Source organism: Homo sapiens, chromosome 5 (assembly GCF_000001405.40).
Source record: "Homo sapiens chromosome 5, GRCh38.p14 Primary Assembly".
Taxonomy (NCBI): Eukaryota; Metazoa; Chordata; class Mammalia; order Primates; family Hominidae; genus Homo; species Homo sapiens.
Window position 1 is genome coordinate 9,140,739 of NC_000005.10, and position 23,332 is coordinate 9,164,070.

A 23,332-nucleotide genomic window follows, 5' to 3' on the forward strand; every position below is an offset into this window, starting at 1 on the left:
GAGCAAAAGCATAGCGAGGCTACACTTAGAGATCATTCAAAAGGCCTGCATTCCTTTTCGTGTTTCTTATTAAAGCAACATGACCAGTAGTTAAAATTAAACCTCCAAAAAGGGAAAAATTCCACGGGCTCCTCACGTTTACCCCAGACTTCCCATGCAAAGCTGCTTGGAGACTTAAAACAATGCCACAGTGTTAGAGGGAAGTATTTCAAGCTGTTTTAAGTGGAAAGCTGCATGTAATAACATCTCTTTCTTCTGATGATTCCAATGGTTCTGCACGTTCTTAACATTACACTTATCCTTTAAAATGTTAAAATGTCTTTACAAACACAAATGCCCATTCAATAAAATATCATGTATATTTAAATATAATTTCCTCATGCAAAATATTTTACACCATGGGCAAAATTCTGATGAGATCTACCTTTATTCTAAATTATGTCTTAAGAAAATCTATTACACAATTTTATTTTTGGAAGCTGGATCTCTTTAAGAAACTGTGGAAAATCATGGGTTTCCAATTAATGCAGCCATTGTGAAAGTGGCTTTTCTGTATTCCACTTTGAAAATGTTTTTCCTTGTGTGGTAAATATTTTTAATAAAAGTTTTAGCTTGATTTAATTATTCTAAATTGTAAACATATGTCATAGCATCATTTTGTACCCCATAAATATATTCTGTTCAAATATAATTATCAACATTCAATTTTAAAATTTCCATAATGTGTTAATGACCTTACACTATTCTCATTTTACATATTACCCTGGTATTTGAAAGTATCTGAATTTAGATAAAAATGTTAGTCAGAATCCGAAGGTTTAATTTTTTTCAAAAACACACTTATTGAGGGTATTTTTTAGAGCTAAACATATATTTGGAGACAGGCCTTAATTCTAAAAAGCAGGATAAATGTCTACTTTCCTTTCCACATGACAATAACATCAACATATATCTAAAGTATTTCTTTACATTTTAAAAATTTGCAATTACGTTTTTTGTTAGTTGGAGTAACAGAAAAATAAGTTTATTCATTAAAATATTTTCACTGTATTTCTGAAAAGTTGAGATTTATTAATAAGTACAATTCCTCGTGCCTATTAGATTATCTAAGTATCAGTGATGACTTTATCTGGCTTGTCACTGTCACACTAATTATCATTAGGTCAGTTTATTTTTGATATTAAGAATTTTTGCCATTTTGTTAATATAAAATGTATTCTTACACATGGGATTTTAAAAGTGTTTCAATCATGTATCAATTCAGCACATACTTACGAGCACTTGCTATGAAGTCAACTTTGAAAGTGCTGGGTGTACCATGGCAAACAGACACTGTCACTGAGCTCCAAGAACTTCCCATTTGGTTAAGAAAGTAAATATTAAATAGTTACATGATAAATATCAACAACCAGTTGCAAAGGAAGAATTCAAAGGGCCATAAGAGTCTGGTGAATCCCCACTTCGATGGGTGGGTGAGCCTTGGATGAGAGGATATGTAGGGACTGGAACAAATGGGATGAACAGAAGTGACCCATTTGATAGGCGCCAGCAAGAACAGAACCTTTTTGCAGAGAGATCAGCTTGGGAAAAGCACTCAGTGGGGAGAGAACTTGGAGAGTTTGAAGAACTGGTAAAATGGAGGCTGGACTTGGGCTGAAGCTTGAGGAGAGAAATGGGCAGAGTCCTTGGGCTCCACTAAAGATTGAGGGTTTCCTTGCAAGTGTTGCATACTTTAAAGTGCTTCCCAAATACTGTGCAAGAGCCACACTTCAAACATCAATATTAACTTCTATTATCATTACAATGATTGTGGTAGTGATCAAACTGCCTATGAATTATCCCTTCCCTAATTCCTATGAAAATCTGTCCCATTCCTAAGTACCATGTTACCATATACTTCATAAGCTATTCTTGTACTTTAAGAGCTGCAATTAAAAACATTATCTGGCCAGGCACGGTGGCTCATGCCTGTAATCCCAACACTTTGGGAGCTAAAGGTGGCTAGATCATTTGAGGTCAGGAGTTCAAGACCAGCTTGGTCAACATAGTCTTGAACCATGTTCAAAAATAGAAAAATTAACCGGGCATGATGGCACATGCCATGTTGGGAGGCCGAGGCAGGAGAATCACTTGAACCTCAGAGGCAGAGGCTGCAGTGAGCTGAGATCGTGCCATTGCACTCCAGCCTGGGTGACAGAGTGAGAATCCATCTCAGACAAACAAACAAACAAACAAATTATCTTACAAAAAATAAGACTGAAGAAAATTCCAAGTAGACAATAGCCTTCCTGAGACATCCACAGATCCTTCAATTGGTAAATCCAACTAGAACATACATTTTCATTGTTTTCCTCTTCTGCAAAACTAGAACAAAAATACCTATTCACAGGGCTGTTTGGAGAGTTATATCGTGCTAGACAGTATATAAAAAAGGTTTTTTTGAGATGGAGATGCATACAGTTGTTATAATTAGTCCCTAAGCACAATTTCAAGTTATTATACACTATGGATTTCTGAGGTAGTTGAAAACATTCTATATTGAAAATACTAAGTCCAGCAATAATTCACATTACATGCTATGATTTGTAGGTGAAATTAATGTACTTGATTTCAATTAGTGATTAACTTTTAATACTTTTCATGTATTAAAACTACTCGGCTTAACATTAAATAACACTGATCAAATACAATGGCTGTTTTTTACATTTCATTTTGCACTTAATATTAAATTTAAATAATTGACTTATACTGGCACTAATATTAAGCATACTAAGCATATGTTCTTTTAGTTAAAACCCATAGGCAAATATAACATTTCAATTTTCCTGAAAAATCTGTTTTAAAATTGAACAAGATTGATACACATTTTACAGTAAAGCATTTCAGGAAAATTGATAATTTAAAAAACAGTGATGGGATTAGATAGAGCACATGTGAAATAAGCAAGTCAAAAGTTCTTCCTGGATCTAGGACTTGTGATTAACTTGGTTTGCCAGCTTTGGTTTCTGACCTGATGCAGAGACCCCGTTCCACTCCCTCTTTAAGCACTGAATCCTGAGCTGTTTATCTTGACCTCCTTGTGGGCTTCAATCATTGTAAATTTTCTCTAGAACAAATATAAAGTCTTTCTAGAAAGGCCAAGACTGCCTCCAGGACAAAGCCAAGAAAGGCAGCCTCTTCCATGGCTAGGATTGTACCAGGGGACCAAAACCAGGACAAAGGAGGCACAGGGTGTTTCAATGGCCCAACATAAACCTTCCATGGTTCCACGATGTGGAAGTAACTCACCAGGAATGGCAACCAGAAACAGCTGTGTCTATGTGCTCAGGAAGAAAAGAAAATAATTACTGGTCACTTCATTCAGGGAGAAACCCACACCATTGGTATTCCACATTCTCTATTCCATAAGTAGGCATAATTATAGGTACCTCCAAAGTTCACCCTCCCCCAGTGTCCTCTCCTCTTGGCTAATTAAGATTTAAAATGAAGACACAATTACTTATTTGCTATATAACATGTTTTTCTTTTTCAAGAGAAACACTTCTGTGAAATAGGGTTTAAGGGTCAACAATTATGCCTGAAGAATGCAGAAGGTGTCAAGTAATACATTTTAATTTTTACTCAAAACCTTAAAAGGGCATAAGTCCAGAGGGGAAAATATGTATTATTCTGTTTTCTTATAATTCACCTAACTTAACAGTTTGACTGCAATTGAGTGGAAGAGGTTCAATGCCAAGGAACCCTTCTGTGTAGTACAGCCCACCCCTCAGAAAGAACATTTGTCCCTCTCAGCGGGTAGTTACAGCAAGTGTGAGGTCTGCCTTGAATGTGGATTCTCTGGTGCCCTCATGACTGCTGGGCAGCCGGTGACAGTGGTGAAGGCAAGCACCTGGCTCTCTTCACACTTGGCCTTGTGTAGCCTTCATCAGTGCCTGAATCCCAGTTGCTCTTGTGTGGATAGAGACATGTTCACTTGAGACAGGGAATTATTGCAAATCCATGGACAGATGCTCCCGCTGCTTGGATGAGGCCATGCTGACATCACTCACCCAAGCACATCATGTGGTCATGCTAGAGTCTCATGAACTGTTGATTTGCCCCGGCAGAGTCAGGTAACAATTGAATGAAAGGAGAAGAATCCTCCTCTCAGACAACATGAAGTTGTTTGAAGGCAGAGCAGCAAATGATTGGCTGGTCAGTTTACCTTCAGTTTAGTCCGGAGACCATGAGAAGTATATGTGGGCAAAGAAGGCAAACCACACATAAAAGAGCAGTCTGTCATTTTTACTTTTTTTTTTTCCTTCTCTTTCTTGTTTGTTCATTCACTTTTTATTTTGACTTACATCTAGGACAGAGGGAGACTTTGAATCCCAGCCTTCAACATAGTGTGCAGAAAGTGTAAAAGACCACTCACAGGCAATGCCAGCTCAGAAGGACCTGCATGAACTGAGTATAGTATTAAAACAGGAAAGGAACTATCTTGTGTCAAATTCTTATTAAGTACCAGCCCCCTAACATAGCCTCTCTCTCTTTATCTCCAATAACACACTCCTATGGAAACAGGGTTGAGAAATAAGATACAAAGACTTTGAGTAACTGGCTTATGGTCACACACACAAAAGCCCCATCCAGAACCATCTGAATGCAAAGCTCATGCTCTTTCCATAGGCAAGCTGTTTTGCAAACATATGAGAACAGTTATCTCCTTAAGAATTCACTGGACTATGCAGCAAATAAAAATCTTAGGAGAAGTCCAGGTGCTCGTATTTAGAATAACTCAGGTGCAGGGGTCTGGAGCCAAGAAGTGGTGGCAGCTCAAGCTTTCCTATGGAATTCTTACATAACTTTAAATTTGAGAGCTCAAAAGCAGGAGGCCTGTGGAGTAGATATTAAAGAAGAAAACTTTTTTTTTTTTTTTTTTTTAGATGGAGTCTCTGTCACCCAGACTGGAGTGTAGTGGTGCAGTCTTGGCTCACTGCAAACTCCACCTCCCTGGTTCAAGCAATTCCCCTGCCTCAGCCTCCCGAGTAGCTGAGATTACAGGCGCCTGCCACCACATCCAGCTTTTTTTTTTTTTTGTATTTTTAGCAGAGATGGGGTTTCATCATGTTGACCAGACTAGTCTTGAACTCTTGACCTCAAGCAATCCACCCTCCTTGGCCTCCCAAAGTGCTGGGATTACAGGTGTGAGCCACTGCACCTGGCCAAGAAGGAAACTTTTTCTTTCTGATATCCTTTAGTTGTGTTTCTCAACTGAAGTACAAACAGTTGGTAATAGATTTTCAAACTTTACCCAGCTGACTGTTGAAAACACACATTGCCATTTAGAGACCAAGGACACATTCTCTTTGTAAAGCAGTTTCACGTGTTGATGGGTTCTTACCCACCCTGCCCAGGGTCTGGGGGTGTTACCTTACGACAACACTGGAATACACTGTGCTCCAGCCCAAGCCTACCTTGGAACCCCTCTTATCATGTCTTCCTCACTGTCCTAATTAGCACTTACCACTTTTGTTAGTGCCAGCACCAACAAAAACTCGGTGCATTTACTTTCTGCCATTTCTCTATTTTTAAAAACAGATTTAATGGTGGCATCCATATAATGTTGCTGTGCTTTATTACATTTTTGTTGTGTCATACAGATGTCTTCATAGGTGTCGCTTAATGGCTTCAGAATAACTCAATCAGAGAACAATCGTTGAAAGGATGTATCATAAGTGGTGATTAATTCCCTTACTACTGGAAATTGAAAATTAGAACACTGGTTATGATACAGATATAGCTTTAAAAAATAATTGGAGAGGAACATTAGGTGAGGAGATTAGGTCCTAGTGTATTCCGGGATCAGACTTTAAAGATAAATCGATTTTGGAATAAATTCTAAGGCAACTCCAAGGTCCTTCGGTTCAGTTCCATGACAGCAGGTGATTTTACTTACACCAGAATTTCTTATTACACTCTGAGTCCTCTGAAGGCAGGGTCAGGGATGCCTCATTCATCATCCTCTATGCAGGGCCCCACTTGGTGTTTGGCATGTATTGAGTTCAATAAATATAATATAAAGGAATTAATTACAAAAAATCCACATTCTCTAGAGGTTAAACCAAAGCCAGCACAAACAAAAACTCAAGACTTTGAGATTTGGCAAATATTAAATTCATTCTGAGGGGATAATATTTACTTTGTAAAATGGGTACATGTCAAAATGTCCTCCTGAATGTTTATTTGATTAATGACCAAATGAGTAAGGTTGTCTGGCTGGGAGACCACGTGGAGACCCTGCAATTTCTCTGTACACATTGTATGCTTTTTCCATTGGCAGATGCTGTCTTTAGGGAATATTTAATTAAGAAAGGTGTCAACCTATTAACTCCGGCTTTTAAAACTTTGACCTTTAGAGCAATAAACATCCTGTAGTAATCTAATTTTCCATACTAATTTTTTGATGAGGTGTTAATTTCTTTAACTAAATGATACTATTAAAGGCTAACTGCATTAAGAACGCCCAAATACCAGTTCACTCAATAGAACCAATGTCTTTTTCCTTTTCTTTTTCTTTTTCTTTTTTTCTTAGACAGAATCTTGCTCTGTCACCCAGGCTGGAGTGTACTGCAACCTCCGCCTCCTGGGTTTAAGCGATTCTCCTGCCTCAGCCTCAGAGTAGCTGGTTTTACAGGCTTGTGCCACCAAGCCCAGCTAATGTTTGTATTTTTAGTAGAGACAGGGTTTCACCACGTTGGCCAGGCTAGTCTCGAACTCCTGACCTCTTGATCCACCCGGGTCAGCCTCCCAAAGTGCGGGGATTATAGGAATGAGCCACCACGTCCTGCCCAATGTCTTTTTCTTAATGGTCCATCTTTCCCTCTAGTCTTATAAGGCACAATTTAAAAGGTGTGACTCTTTTATATGTAAGCTATAATACTTCCAGTTCCCAGATTTTCTCTCCTTTCCCCCAATTAGTTCATTAAGCAAAAATAAAACAAACCAAAAAAAAAAAAAAAAAACCCACCTAAGGCCCAAAGGCTTTCAATCCTTTTGCTACTGTATGATATTGCCACATTTTTCTGCAAAGGAATTTTATTTTGTCACAAGAATTTTGCTTCCTTTCAAGGTATGAAGTAAATTAGCAGATAAGGGAGAGGCAGAATGTCCATTTGCTAATTTAACAAATATTATATTTACTGACCCTTTTTTGAGCTGGATACCAGGCTGGGGGCTTCATTGAACTCAGAAGCACAGAGGAAGCCCAGGCTTTGGGAGCTTATGTTCCCACAGCTTGAATGAAGCCTGTGCTGGCATGCAGGAATTTACAGTCTACTTTCTGTTCTATGATAAAAGATTAAGTGCACACTCTTTCAATGAATGTTAAATAAAAAATTAAGATTGTATGAGTAAGTATCCAAAGGGTAGAAAATTCCATGGTGTTCAGAAAATATTAGGGTACAGATTAACCTATGTAATTTAATAACTCATTTGATAAATGAAATACCTAATTTTCTAAATTAGTGTTATTAAGGAACATTCATTTATTCAAAAGGTAGATGATAATCTAACTTAGGGGTCAGCAAACCACACAGCCTGTGGCCAAATTCATACGGCCACCTAAACTTTTCCTGAAACACAGAACTGGGGAATGTTCCTCTCTGGTGACTGTTCATGAGTGCACAGAGGCCACAGGGCAAGGCTTACTCACAAGTGACCTAAGCTTTGGCCCCAGGATCCTCCCTGGTCCTGGAACGCGGGAGGATTATGAGGAACTGCTGCAAAACCATTCCTCCCTCATCCCTATGTCCCAGGAAGGCTGTCAGGAGCTTCTCATTGCTTTCCAGGTTCTGATGAGGTGTAAGGCTTTCTGCCCCTTCATATACCCGCACTAGGATACAGCTTTAGGCTCTAAAACTGCCAGGCTACAGCATGGAACGGGCTCCTGAGAGTACAGTGCCTTAGTCCTCCTGCTGCACTGTCACCTGGCCATTTTGTTTTGTTTTGTTTTGGTTTTGAGACAGAGTCTCACTCTGTCGTCCAGGCTGGAGTGCAGTGGTGTGATCTCGGCTCACTGCAACCTCTGCCTCCCGGGTTCAAGCGATTCTCTTGCCTCAGCCTTCTAAGTAGCTGTGATTTCAGGCATGCGCTACCATGTCCAGCTAATTTTTGTATTTTTAGTGGAGACGGGGTTTTGCCATGTTGGCCAGGCTGGTCTTGAACTCCTGACCTCAAGTGATCTGCCCTCCTCAGCCTCCCAAAGTGCTGCAATTACAAGTGTGAGCCACCATGCCCGGCTGCCCCTTTTGTTTTGATGTCATCCTGTGGGACAAGGGATGTGGTGAGTAGACTCATTTTCTGCTCTTTTTTTGGCTAAGTAATAAACTGTCTGGATCTAAAAGCGGATCACACTTTTTTCAACAGACAAATCCATCAGCCTTGCTTGACCCACACATCTACCCATTCATTATGGTCTATGGCTGCTTTCACACTGCAAGGGAAGAGCTGAGGAGTTTCAACAGAGACTGGACATCTGTGCAGCCTACAAGTGTTTCTCTCTGGCCCTTTGCAAAGAAAGTTTGCCAACATGCTGATCCACTCCACACAGAGGCCTTAAAATGACTTTAAAAGTCCACATCAGGGCCAGGTGCGGTGGCCTATGCCTGTAATCTCAGCAATTTGGGAGGCTGAGGTGGGTGGATCACCTGAGATCAGGAGTTAAAGACCATCCTGGCCAACATGGTGAAACCCCGTCTCTACTAAAAATACAAAACTTAGCCAGACCTGGTGGCGCATGCCTGTAGTCCCAGCTACTTGGGAGGCTGAGGCAGGAGAATAACTTGAACTCGGAAGATGGAGGTTGCAGTGAGCTGAGATCACACCACTGCACTCTAGCCTGGGTAACAGAGTGAGACTCGTCTCAAAAACAAAACAAAACAGAATAAAAAGAGTCCAAATCAGCGGCCCTCCCATCACCACACCTCTAAGCTGTTCTTTTCTTAGCCTTGAAGAGGTACAATCAGTCACACTACTTGGAAGGCTATAACATTTTCTTGTGGGAGAAAATAACAACCTGATTTCTAGACAAGATTATTAGAGCACAGGTCCTGTGGCTGCTCTTTTCCTCCTGAATTACAGAGGTGGGAAGCCTATGAGTTCTTGGCCAGAGCTCATAGGGTAGCAGGTTCTGACTTCGCATTGGTGTTTACACAAGGCAGGAAGTCAGTGAGTGGCTGCTCTTGGCTGCTCCATCCTGTGCCTCCTCATGGAGACTTTTTCCACTAAATTAATTTATTCATTGTAGAGACAGGTCTCATCATGTTCCCCAAGCTAGTCTTGAATTCCTGGCCTCAAGCAATCCTCCTGCCTCAGCCTCAAGAAGTGCAGGGATTACAGGTGTGAGTCACCACTTCCAGCCTTTTCCCACTTTAAAGACCACATGATGCTACTCGACCATGAGCCAGGTGCATGGCCTGGCCCACAGGATGAGGTCAGCTTTCCTGTCTTCCCCTGTTACTCATGGTACTCATAGCTGGGCCTTCCCAGATCCCCAAATTCCTCAGAAATTAGTGAATGTGAACTCACTTTTGCAACTTATACACAGATGTGGTCAATAAGGCCTAAAATGAAAAAGGATATGCATGAATAGTGCAGTTTCTCTGGTACTCTACATCCCCAGAGATCACCACCAATTCCAATGAGTTAGCTTTGTCTTTTGAATGATTTTCTCACTCTATCTATTAAATGGCTGTGCTAAAAAAAAATGCTAACATCAAAACACAATTTTTTTACTCGTCTTTGAGGTCAAACTTGACGGAAATATAATTTTGAAATATTGATCTTTTAAAATAACTTTCTAAGGCAACAGTGCTATGTTCTGATCAGTCACAACACACGTGTGGTCAGTACAGGCAGGTGTTCTCTCACCACTCCCAACCCCCGCCGCCTGAGGTCCCAGGATCTCCTTAAGAATAACCAGGGAATGGAGACTCAGCTTAGAAAGCTTTGGAAAAACAGAGTATAAAACCTCCTTCATGTTTGCTTGATCCAGTCTGATGGCAAGCAGAATGAGGAAGAGGCTAACGGGAAGGGGGTTGAGCCTCTCTCAGAAGACCTGGCTTCTGCCTGTCTGGGTACTGACCAGCTCTGCCTCTCAGTTTCACACATGAAGAGTGCAATCCAGCAGCTCCTTCAGCTGAAATCTGACCACTGAATGGGTGGTCCTCGTTGTACCGGGGCAGCAGAAACAACCAGTAATACAACATGGGCCTGGGGCAGTCTCGGCTCTGACCCAGGTCTCATGTTGCAGTAGCTATGTGACTTTGAGCAGGACACCAAAAATATGAGCTGCCATTTCCTCATCTGAACAATGGATATGGTATGCTACTTTACTTTCAGGATTGACATAATAATCCCGCCAAATTCTCACAAAATCTAGCATATTGTCAGATATGTGAAAGAAATTTGTGAAATTGTATCAGTTATCATTTATACACATTTTAATAAATGTCATTGTGCATTGTCTTTGGAAAAAAGACTCAAGAAAATTAAACATGTAAACATGATTTAGAAGGAGATGGGTAATTTAGATAAGCAGTTTCCCTTTTTAAATACTTCAAGATTCATTTATAAGACTGGTTTTCCAATAATAAATGGCATTACTGAGATTCTATGATGGAAAGTATATTGGCAAAGAAATTAGTATCCAATCGTTACCCAATTGTTTTCCTATTCCTATTTAGTGTACTTCTTTAAGCATCTTTCTGAAAGATTAAAATTGCTTTTGTCAAAAAACCCCACAATTTTTCCTTATAATTTATAAAAAATGTTTGTGCAGTTATTTTTTTTTAAAGATTCTTTTCTCCATGGAATGTTAACTAGGGAGGGTTTCCTATCTTTCTACAGGAGTAGGATAATAGAGAAACACATTGGAAATATTCAGAGAAATGCTTGGGTTGAAATCTTTAGTTTTCTTTTCTCGAATGAAATACTAAAGGACCAGGCAAAAACTAACCCCCTCTGAGGAAGGGCACACAGAAGACTATAGTCTATCAGTTGAAAATGAAGTTACGATTTCTTACTGCTTCTCTCAGAGTAAACAGCAGGATGATTAAGCTCCAGCTATAAATGTCAAGCTCCTTCCCTCTCAGGAGCCCAGTGAAGACACACCAGTGTCATCATTCTCCTTGAAAGGAAAGAGGGAACAGTGAACTCCTCCCCAGGCCTCTGTGCCTGGAGCACCAGCTCCTGTGGATCCACAAGTGGGCTGGCAGTTCAGGTGCATGAGAGATGCCAGGGACACTGTGCCTCTCATCACTGATCTGATGCAGAACTTAGTTCCTAAGTTGCGTGTACAAGAGGCTGAGCGATTATGACCCAGACTCAAGGAAGGAGAGCAACCTGTAAAAGATGAATTGCCTCATGCTCTGTAAGCCATGCACTCCCATTCTGGCACCAGAATCACCCTGCAGACAGCACAGGCCTGCGGCTTCCTGTGGGTTATCCCGTGTCACCCTCCAAAAAGGTCATCCTTCACTGAGCTGGAGTTGAAAGACTGGTGTCCTTCTAGATATATTCCAGCTATGACATCCTGTTGGCCAGACCCCAATCCTGTTACCCACTGAACCAACAGCAACTGGAGGAAGAATAATTCCTTCCCTAGGCTAGTTCTGCAGGGAACACAAACCAGAACACATTTCAAGCAGCCAGTGGTTAAATTTAGGAAGTAAGCATATATAAGAATGGCAGTTAATAAATACCACTAGCTGTTATTAATGTTCACAATATCATTATGATTAGCTGGGAGGTTCCTGGCATTATTCCTCAACTCTCTCTCTCATTTCAAAGGAGACATTAAAGACTTCATTTTCTAGAATCATCTTGACAGGCTTATTGCTGTGATTACACATCAAAACCTTCCTTCCACCTAAGAATACTCACTTTGCAGAGTGCTTAAATTTTATACTCTATATATTATCCTATTTGAGTCTACAGCAATTCACATGTGTTGAGTGACAAAGTGAATTCTGAAATACTTTTGCGACCTGGGTCAAGAAACAGCAACAACAGGGCTGGGCGCAGTGGCACACGCCTGTAATCCCAGCACTTTGGGAGACAGAGGCAGGTGGATCACTCAAGGTCAGGAATTCGGGACCAGCCTGGCCAACATGGTGAAACCCTGTCTCTACTAAAAATACAAAAATTAGCTGGGCATGCTGGCACATGTAATTTCAGCTACTCAGGAGGCTGAGGAAAGAGAATCGCTTGAACCCAGGAGGTGGAGATTGCAGTGAGCCGAGATCACACCACTGCACTCCAGCCTGGGTTACAGAGCAAGACTCCATTTCAGAAAAAAAAAAAAAAGGCAACAACAGGTCTGTTCCATGAACCCTAGCTTCTGAGTTCCAAAGCCAGTGTAACTTGGCACCTTGTTTAGAGAGAGAGTGGCCTGTGTAGGGTAGATGTCTGTGAGTGATATATCAAAAAGGACTATTTCTACTCCAAATCTGCAATTACACCCTGCTTTAGGAGTGGAATTAAACAAGATGCCTAAGAACATTTAAGATTCTGATTTCCCCAAGGGCGATCTTTTGTCAGGGATCAGAGTGTATATACAATCTCCCGGAGTAAAGTGCTGGTCAGGTGTGTGATGTATACAGTACTTTTTCATTTCCTAAGTACCTGGGCCAACATGTTTCCAAATTAAACTTTAAACACAACTGTGGTTGATCGTGGATGTCCCACGGAAGATAAGACTGGCCTGAGGGTGAAGGAAGATGCAATGACTCTTGGGTTTCCCTGTGGCTGGAGACCTCCCTCCCTACCCTCTCTGCAGGCTCAGGAGAGAAGCAGCACTCCAGGGGAGCTGGTGCCAAGGACAGTGGCGGGGGAGGGGGGGGTGTCCCGGAAAGTGGGTGCCACTGCAGCAACATCAACCACTCCTTCTTCTCAAGGGGTTATCAGCATATGAGCTGTGGTCGAGAAGGACGTATACCTTATAATATTTTTTGTTATTTCTATATTCAAATAAAATACAAGCTTGAGGCCAGGTGCAGTAGCTCAAGCCTGTAATCCCAGGACTTTGGGAGGCAGAGGTGGACAGATCACTTGAGGTCAGGAGTTCAAGACCAGCCTGGCCAACATGGTGAAACCCTGTCTCTACTAAAAATACCAAAATTAGCCAGGCATGATGGCACACATCTGTATTCCCAGCTACTTGGGAGGCTGAGGCACGAGAATCACTTGAACCTGGCAGCCAGAGGTTGCAGTGAGCTGAGGTCTCACCATTGTACTCTAGCCTGGGTGACAGAGTGAGACTGTGTCTCAAAAAAAAAAAAAAAAAATATATATATATATATATATATATATATATATGTGTGTGTGTGTATGTGTGTGTATGTATGTATGTGTGTGTGTGTATATATATATACATATATATAAGCTTGTGCCAGATTAACATATTAATACAGTCATCAAATATCAGTATTACCACTGAGTGTTCTAAGGCACTGAATAATTTATTTTAACCCTGACAACTTCTTACAGGTATTATAACGTGGCTCCTCCTCTGAGGAGAACTGGTGGGTTATTCTCATCACAGTGAATCTATTTTAATGAAAGCTCTGCATCCTAGAGCACAGGACTCTCAGAGGCATGAAGGGTGGCTCTGAGGCCATTCAACTTCAGGGCATCTGAAGCCTCCCTGGCTCTCTCTGGGTGGGCCCTTCACACACACACCAGTGCATCCTGACCCCGGAGATGCCCTACCTGCGTGTGCGGTAGAACTGGCACCTCTTCAGGGGGATCTTGACCACGTGCTCCCGCAGGCCCACGAACAGGACACTCTGGCTGTGCAGGATCTGCAGGCTCCTGATGGGCTCCCTCCGCCTCTCAGGGAAGAGCTCAATCTCTTCCAGCAAACAGCTGCTTGAGGTCTGATTCAGGGGTACCCGCACTTTCTTAATGGTTCCGTAATCTATGAAGGTCACAGGATGAAAAGGAAACAAGGTCAGAGGGTCTCACAAACCAATCCCTGGTTAAACAGAGTGTGCTGTGTATGCAGCCATGGATCTTCAGCCAGGAAAGCCATCTGAGCATCCTTCAAAAACAGTACACCTGGACACCACTGCAGACCAGTTAGGTCAGCTGCACTGGATGTGGGGCCCAGGCAGCAGTATCTTTTAAAATGATGCTCTCATGTAGCAAGGGATGAGGACTAATCATGTCCGATTGGACCCTTCCAGTTCCAAGTCTCGGGATGGAGAGCTCAAAGTAGCAAGCTTTGTGCCATCCCATGGAAAACATCAGGAAAGAAAGACCCTCAAGGGACGATCTTGGATTCTTAGTGACAGAGATGCTGATTTTGGTGCCCAGCAGGGCAAGGAAAATGCAATGTGATTGGCAGCTTCAAATATCCAGTACGACTGTGATGCCCCCTCCTCCTTCCTGCCACGAGAAGTACACCCTCCTCCATCTCCCTCTCTCCTCTGTCTACATTAGCTCCTTCTTTCCTCCTAGTGCTTGCTCTTTGGGATGATTTTCTTGGGCTCAACTCCTCCAAACTTTCTTTCTTGTGCTTCTGAGTATTAATTTCTGGCCTGATCCAAGCCCTCCCCGCTCCAGGCTTCTTGCTCCCTGGGTGTTTCTGTGCACTTATTTATCTGCTTGACTGCTAGCACTGCTGGAGGGTGAGCGGCCCCTGAGCCATGCAGCCTTCCCAGCTTAGGGGGACACACAGTTGAAACGAACATTGCTCTCCCAGGTACCCTGTGCTGCACCCCGCAACTCCTTGCTGACACCCTGCAAATCCCAGGCATGAAATCCAGCCTTCTGGAAGCCGCTTAGAGATCCACTCAAGTACCTGGAATCATCCTGAAGGCCCTGACTGAATAAAACCTTCCATGATCCCGAGTTTCAAAACATCATGGTTCTTATTTTGCAAACACAGAAAATGAGTTTAAGGAGTTATTCTAAAACCAGAAGTAGTCAAGAATATTTGACTTCAAGGCCTCCTATCAAGCAATTCATTGCAAAAGACCTTGGATAAAATACTTTACATTTTTCTCTCTCTATGAAAGCCATAGAGATGGAGGCTATTTGTGTTTAAAAAAATACATAAGCAGACATGTTTTAGCCTGAATTTACTTTAAAAAGCATATCTGAAACATCTCCAGTGAGCATTTTCTGATTATACACTGACTGAAAAATCATGTAGACAGTATTGGCAAACAATTGCTTGCTTTCATTTTAAGCTAACTGGTTAAATATGCTACTTTTTAAAAAGGTCAATCATACACTGAAGTATGCTATATGCGGGGAAGATTTTAAAATGATCTTGAGGAAAGAGCATGTATTTGTGTTCATGTAAAAGGGTGAGGACAAAAGAGAGAACGAGAGAGGGAAGAGAAAGGGGCAGCTGTGGCGTAGAGAGGCAGACATTTTAGCAAATTCACAGTTCACAGATGTAAGCATGTAAGAAAAAATTTATGTCTTAATTCTATAATTCAAATTAATTTTGACTTGGACATCACAGTTCATAAGCTTGTTGGAAAATTCAGCCTCAATGATTCTTAGGTCTCTCTGCCTGGGGTACAGCGAAGAGTCAATAAACTTACACAGCACCAAGGAACTAACAGGGACAAGATGGGGGCTTCAGGGAAGGTGACATCAGCTCACATGTGTCAGCCACAGGCCCTGCAAGGAGGTCCCCATGAGGCACCAGCAGAGGGAGGTGTCAGCCTTCCTGTGGAGCAGTGATGGGCATAGAGCCTGTGGCTGCCTTTGCGACATCATTACACAAGAGGACATCATCTGAGACACATGTTAGGAGGGAGGCAGGGGAAGCAAGGCTCATGGGAGAACTTATGTGAGAGACCCCTGGGTGAAACAGGAGCTTTCATAGAAGTTCAGGGGTGGGTGGCCTGCCTAGAGTCAGGATCCAGCTGGAGGATCACTGTGCTGTGACCAGCGTCACACTAGTTGTTCACCAGCCTAGAGTGGCATGGGAAACAGAGTTTACAGAACTATAGCCTATCTGAGAATTTAACAAAGACTCATTGCTGTTTATTATTTATTTTGTTGAAGGATTATGATTCTGAGAAACCTGCCCAAATTAACAACAGTCCAAATGTCAATATGCTCATATGTATTTCAAATTCTTAAGTAATTGTGGAAAGAATCAAATTTTTAAAGATCTGTGATAGTTTGACTTAAAAGAGTGAGCCATCTTTGATCATAAACTTTTACTGCATATTTCTGCATACCTTGTATCTGATTTTCCAACTAGTGGGAACTAACAAAACTACAGGGCTTAGCATTTCAGAGCAAAGTGCTCAGCGTGGGCTTGCATGCTGGTCCACAATGGATGACCGTGCATCCTTCACTCCCTGGAGTGTCTAGTCATGTGACGAGTCCCCTCCACAGTTCCCCCTTCCCTCTGCATCAGGTTTAGCACACAAAGACCCTTCCTGTCTCCTTGAAGCTCTTCCTTCCCCTGCCTGTGCCCTGCCCTTGTTCTGAACTCCTGCATGCTCACATGTTTGGTCACAGCCTTCTCATCCCCTGTCCTCATGATTACCCTAGGGTCTGTCTTCAAAGCCGGGATCTGTCTTCAAAGCTGAATGTTGGCTCTGTATCTGCAACTCAACCGTTAGGGACTGGAGACACCAGAAACTTGACAGGCCTCCCTGACTCTCCATGTGGCCTACCAGCATGTCCCACCTCCTGTGACCTTGTCTAAGGGACAGCAGCACCATAATCCCAGGGCCGATGATGGGACCTCTCCTTCCCTGTCACCCACAGCTCACCTAGTTCTCGTCCACCCGCCCCTGTCATCCCTGCCACTCCTGCAGCTTCCTCTACACCTCTGTCACCCACATCTCACTGCATCTAGAGGCAGGCTCCAGGCATGCACATGGTGGCCCCATGCTCCTTCATGCCTCCATCCTTGCCTGTGCCTCTCTGTGCTCTGGCAACGGCCACCAGGAAGCACTTGCAGCCCAAGAGCCTGTGATTGTGGCATACCCTGGACATGCAGCTCCTTTGCCTGAGGTGACAAATGACAATGTTATTTTCTTTCAGTGGCAGAAAGACAGAGATGGCCCTATAGAAGAGACACCCCGAAAAACCCCATAGATTTCTATTTGACATAGGAGGACAATAGCAGGACCCTGGTGGATCTTGCAAAGCTATTTGTATTTGGTTGCTGTTTTTACTTTACAACATTTACCATGGTTTTAGTTACTAACTTACTTGTTTTGTGGTTTTTACACTTGATCTTAGGCTCCATAGGGAAAAGAACTATGTCAGTTGTGTCATATGATGTATGTGTAGTGGCTGCTATTAGGGCCAGTAGAGATTAGATGTTTCATGAATATATTCTGCTGAAAGACTGAACAAATGAGTGAGGGAAAGAAGTGTAGCCAGCCTGGAATGAGAATGTCATTATTACTCCCACATTTGCTAAAGAGCGCTGATTAATATTTTTCCCATTATAATCTCTAGCAGGAGTTATGATATTAGTCAGTGTGAAGGTGAAACAACAAACATGAATTTCACCAATATGGAAAGATTTCAACCCAAGATGTCATAAACTAAATATGAATGAAGAATTGGTTTCATCCAAGAAAATATTAACTCCGAAAATTTGCCACAAGAAATAAAGCCATACAAAACTTCTATACTTCTGAAATTTAATACTCTAACCAAAGTTATTTGCATGAAAAAAAGTGCCAGAAATATGTAAAATCTTCTTAATCATTCTTTAACATTCAGAGATCAACAAGTAAAAAAAAAAAAAAAATAGGCATTTCCTGTCCATTTCAGTTCCCCTTCCCAAGGAGAGACGACAATGTGAGGTGGAGCTGCAGAATCAGTGCTGACCAGAGGATGCTCAGAATGGACACTGCTTCAGTGCAAACTCTCATAGTATTTGCCATTTGTGAAAATGTCCCCTACTCATTATGCTATGGACACAAATCTGAGTGTCATCTATTTATAGTTTCTCTCTCAAATAGAAAACTATAGATACTCATCATGAAAGGGACAGAGCTACTTCAAGACTTTAAATATCCATTAGTGTTGATATGGTTATTATTCAAAAGACACAAATACTTGTAATTACATGAAAACATCATTAAATATTATACTTCACTACATATTTGTCTCATCTTAGCAGAAGAGAAGGGATGTTATATTCTAGGGTTACCAGATTAAATACAGGCTGCCAATTTGAATTTCAGATAAACATGAATAATATTTTAGTATTAGTATGCACTATTCAATATTATTCATGATTTATCTGAAATTCAAATTTAAGTGTGCAGCCTGTATTTATATTTGCTATATATGGCAGCCCTATTACATCACATCTCCTTTGATCATCTTGGCAAGCTAGTGAAGATATGTTGGATATATGTAGCAACATATTCCTACTTTATAGGTGACGATATTGAGTTTTAGAGAACAGAACTGATACATATTTTCTATGAACTGGTTAGACATGAAATGCCTTTTCACTTCAATGTTGATGAATGAAATAAAGGATTATAACAATGGACTCCACAGTGAACATTAATTATAAGGCTATTACTGAGGATACAGACTGAAACAGGGGAAGAGGTAGTTGTGCTTTGATTGCATTGTCCTTTTTTTCTATCCGCTCTTCTAGAAGTCATAGAACTTAGCCAACTGGAGGGCAATGAAAAGAAAGTCAGTATTCTAATGAATGCTGAAAAAAGCTCAATATCATTGATCATCAGAGAAGTGCAAATCGAAACCAAAATGAGATACCATCTCATGCCAGTCAGAATGATTATTAAAAAGTCCAGAAACAACAGATGCTGGTGAAGCTGTGAAGAAATAGGAATGCTTTTACACTGCTGGTGAAAATGTAAACAGTTCAACCATTGTGGAAGACAGTATGATGATTCTTCAAGGATCTAGAACCAGAAATACCATTTGACCCAGCAATCCCATTAATGGGTATATACTCAAAGGAAAATAAATCATTCTACTATAAAGCCACACGCACACATATGTTTATTGCAGCACTATTTATAATAGCAAAGACATGGAACCAACCCAAATGCCCATTAATGATAGACTGGATAAAGAAAATGTGGTACATATACACCATGGAATACTACGCAGCCATAAAAAGCAATAAGATCACGTCCTTTTCAGGGACATAGATGAAGCTGGAAGACATCATCCTCAGCAAGCTAACACAGGAACAGAAAACCAAACACCGCATGTTCTCACTCTTAAGTGGGAGTTGAACATTGAGAACACATGGACACAGAGAGGGGGACAACACACACCAGGGCCTGTTGGGGGAAGGGGAGTAAGGGGAAAGAACTTAGAAGACAGGTCAATAGGTGCAACAAACCACCATGGCACACATATACCTATGTAACAAATCTGCACATTCTGCATATGTATCCTGTTTTGCTATTGTTGTTGTTAAGAAGAAATAAAGAAAGAAAAGTCAGCATTCTCCTCCATTGGAAGACTTTGTCTGTCATCCATCTCAAGGACAAGCAGAGGCACATCTGTGTCAGAAGGCAATATGTTCTTCTGGCCTCAATGACCCCCTCCCTCTGTACATACAAGGTGGACTCGAGCATCCTTGGGCAAACAGTGAAGGACCTTCCTGCTCCCTTAAACCAACTGTTTAAAGAGAGTAACATGCAAAGAAAAGTTCACATAACTATAGATGAGTAGAAGTTATGTGTATAATTAAATGTTGGTGTTTCTGAGAATAAGATAAAAGGATGATTTCCTAAAGAAACAAGGACCACATAACATGCTGTCACCAGACCAACTCTCGAACAAGCAAAGGGCTTCAGTGGCATGCCTGCCAATGAGAAGAAGAGAACCCTCCTCGGCACAGATCACTACATTGTAGGTCTAAACAATTCTTAATATATATATATTTTTTGCTGGTGACCAATGCAGTCAAAGAAGACCAGGAGTAAACCTGATGTCAGGTATAAAATGCAGAGGTAAAACTGGATTACCATAATGACAGAGATGGTCCCTTCAACCTCTACAATCTGAGTCATTAGGAAAATGACCAAAAGAAAAAGCAAAGGTCATAAATGAAAATAGTTTACAAAGGTAAAGTTTGCACACTGTCACACAAAACAGTAGTAGATTCCATTGGAAACATGACTACTGGAGAAGAAATGTTTACACAATGCTTATCAAAAGACAGGAGTGTAACTTGAAAAGGACAAAAAGAAATTACCCCCAAAGAATTCCAGCCACAAGAAATGACCCATGAAACACTGAATCTTATATTCCCAGTCCCCATCCCACAGGAAAACGTGTTCATGTCCTGGAACAAATAAGTTACTAAGTACACTGTGGGAAGAATAACTGGAAAGAGAAATGTGTTTTTTAGTGGGGAATTTTTTTTTTTTAATGGGAGTTTGAATGAAATACTGTTCTTAGAGCAGAATGTGGCAGTAAGTAAAGCTACCAGGATAAATTCCTAATGCATTTCATGGGAACGCAGTGACCTGAACGCGGGAACTGGGGAAGCAGCAATAGCAATTAGGATCCCCACAAAAACCCTCAAGCACTGAGGTTTAGGAGGTAGGAACCGAAAGGGTTTATCTAGACTAGCACTGTCCAATGGTGACACATCAGACTCCACAAAAGTAATTTAAATTTTTCTAGATGCCACATTTAAAATGGAAAAAAGGAAACAGGTGAATAAATTTTAATTATATATTTTACTTAACCCAAGGTTTCCAAAAAAATTATGTGATATATCATATGTAATCAATATAAAATATTTGGATCTTTTATATGAAGTGAAATCCAAGTGTATTTTATACTTATAGTCCATTTCAGTTCATACTAACCACATTTCAGCTGGCCAGAGACACATTTCAGCAGGCTGTGGCTAATGTACGGGACTGCCTGAGGATGTACAGGGGTGTCCTGGTGCTGCTCTGGAGAGCCAGGTACTCCTGGCTACACGCAAACAAGAGACAAGTCCAAACCCACAACATCATGAGCTTCAGTTTTCTGCATTTCACATATTGAACCTTGCCCTATTTTTCAAATATAGAGGTCCTTCTCTATAAGTGTTTAAAAATCCCTGCACCAGGTCAATTGCCTCCTCTTTCAAGTAAGATGATGGAGGTTCACCAAGGTGAAGTGACAGCTCACAGCTACACGGCCAGTAAATGTGGCCATGAGAATGGAACCTGGTCTCTAAATCCTTACCTGGACACCTGCTATCACTTGCTGGCACACAGCTCACAGGCAGTGGCAGATGCCCTGTGGGAGTGAATGCCATGTAGGTAGTTCATTTCAGAAACTTATTGATGGACAGAAAGCAATCACGACCATTAGAAAAGGTTATTTCTGTTTTTCATCTGTTTGCTTTGTAGAGTTTTCTATCTACCAAGAAGTCAAGTTAGTTCCTACTTTTCTTTGGAGTATAGCTTCTGTGTCTCTTTTATGAATAACCCTGACTGACCTCCCAAACAGAAACACTGCGGCCAACATGATTTTCCATCATCCAGAGCCTGAATAATCCACATATTAAAGCAAGTGCAAATCACAGGGGAAATCAGATGTATTTATTCCTAAATTAAGCTAACAAGGAAAAGCAAGCAAAGGTATATAGCATGATGTTCAAACAAACATGTGTGTGTGTGTGTGTGTGTGTATATATATGTGTGTGTATATATATGTATATATATGTGTATGTGTATATATATGTGTGTGTATATATATGTGTGTGTGTATATATGTATATGTGTATATATAGGAATATATGTGTATATGTGTATATATATGTATGTGTGTATATATGTGTGTGTGTGTGTATATATATATATATATATATACACACACACACACAAACCATCTTTTCTTCCTTAATGTAAGAAATGCAGTCGATTTCCTTAATCCAGCAAGATACATTCTTGGGGAGACTATGAGTGATCCTACTGATTTTGGTCATCTCTAAATTTGAACCTTCTTTCATCATTATATTTTCCAAGTTAACCTTTCAAACAGTCAAAGATATGATGGATGTTAAGGTTGGAAGGGACGTAAAACAATATTTTAAATTGTGCAGTTGAGAAAAGCAAGGTCCAGAAATGTTAACTGATTTCCAAAGGTCAGACTACTGGGCCAGAGTTTAGGTCCTGTTCATACGGATCAAGAGCTGGTTTCTGAATTTTTGAAGGTATTTTTGTTTCAAAAGTATAAAAAGAGACATATGCAATCCCTATAATGGTGCCTCAGTAATAGTATAGATTGTGAGTTCCTAAAAATCAGGTGAACTGATACAACAGCATATTAAATAGCAGTTGTTATTCCAGGAAAAGATGCAGCTGTGATGTATAGACATGTGCTTATCTTATCATACCACTGACTACACAGAAAACTAGTGTCTAAAGGATGCCAAGCCCAGGGCAGATCAGACTTCTCTATCAGGCTTCAAGCTCCCATTTCTATGGGCTCATGAAGCAAACAGGGAAACAGACGATGAAAAAAAACCTTCTATTGCTGTTTCATTTAAAAAAAAAAAGAATTTAGATGACAAAGGATTTGTTTAAACATTAAAATTGACAATAAAAATAAGCCCCTTAAATCACTATTTGCTATATATAATGTAGACTCTCATGTGCATAATTCAATTATCAGTGGTGAAAAATTAACCATGTTTTTTGCTCTGGGGGAAAATAGCTGCTATTTTTTAACTTTCAATGTTTAAGTAGCTAACATGAATTTTATGGTTTGAACAAGATTCCGTTTTGCATCTTCAGAGTACTGGCCAATTTAAATGAACACAAATGTAACAATATCTCATTTGTAAGGTAAATATGCCTTATACTAAGATAGAGTCTGTTATGAGCTGAACTGTGTCCACCCAAAAGTCATATGTTTAAGTCCTGGCCTTCAGGACCTCAGCATGTGACTGTATTTAAAGACAGGCTCTCTAAAGTGATTTAAGGTAAAATGCAATCGTTAGTGTAGGCCCTCATCTGATATGAGTGTTGTCCTTATAAAAAGAGAAGGTTAGGATACAGGCACAAAAGAAAGACCATGGAAGGACAAAGAGAGAAGGCAGCCATCTGTAAGCCAGGAGGAGAGGCCTCAGGAGAAACCAAACCTGCCGACAGCTTGATCTTGCACTTCCAGCCTCCAGGGCTGAGAAATAAATTTCTGTTGTTTAAGCTGCTCAGTCTATGGTACTTTGTTATGGCAGTCCCAGCAATATTGTATTATATAACAATTATATATTATGTATATAATATAATATATATTTATAATATAAATATTTATATAATATAATATATATTTATAATATAAATATTTATAT

At 40.7% G+C, this 23,332-nt stretch overlaps 1 protein-coding gene across 11 annotated transcripts in view, besides 1 other annotated feature; it reads right to left on the minus strand.

Moving 5' to 3' along the window:
* SEMA5A (semaphorin 5A) overlaps positions 1–23,332 on the minus strand; it is a 511,043-nt gene that overhangs the window by 105,706 nt on the left and 382,005 nt on the right. For all 11 annotated transcript variants that reach the window (XM_011514158.3, NM_003966.3, XM_011514157.3 and 8 more), the window contains one exon: positions 13,750–13,957. In XM_011514158.3, coding sequence (XP_011512460.1) covers positions 13,750–13,957 — 208 coding nt within the window. The remainder of the gene's footprint in view (positions 1–13,749; positions 13,958–23,332) is intronic.
* Positions 15,592–15,661: an enhancer, noted in NCBI's record as "active region_22348". NCBI's record gives its function as "activates an Ori minimal core promoter by ATAC-STARR-seq in GM12878 lymphoblastoid cells {active_cell/tissue: GM12878}" and the evidence as "EXISTENCE:reporter gene assay evidence [ECO:0000049][PMID:35858748]".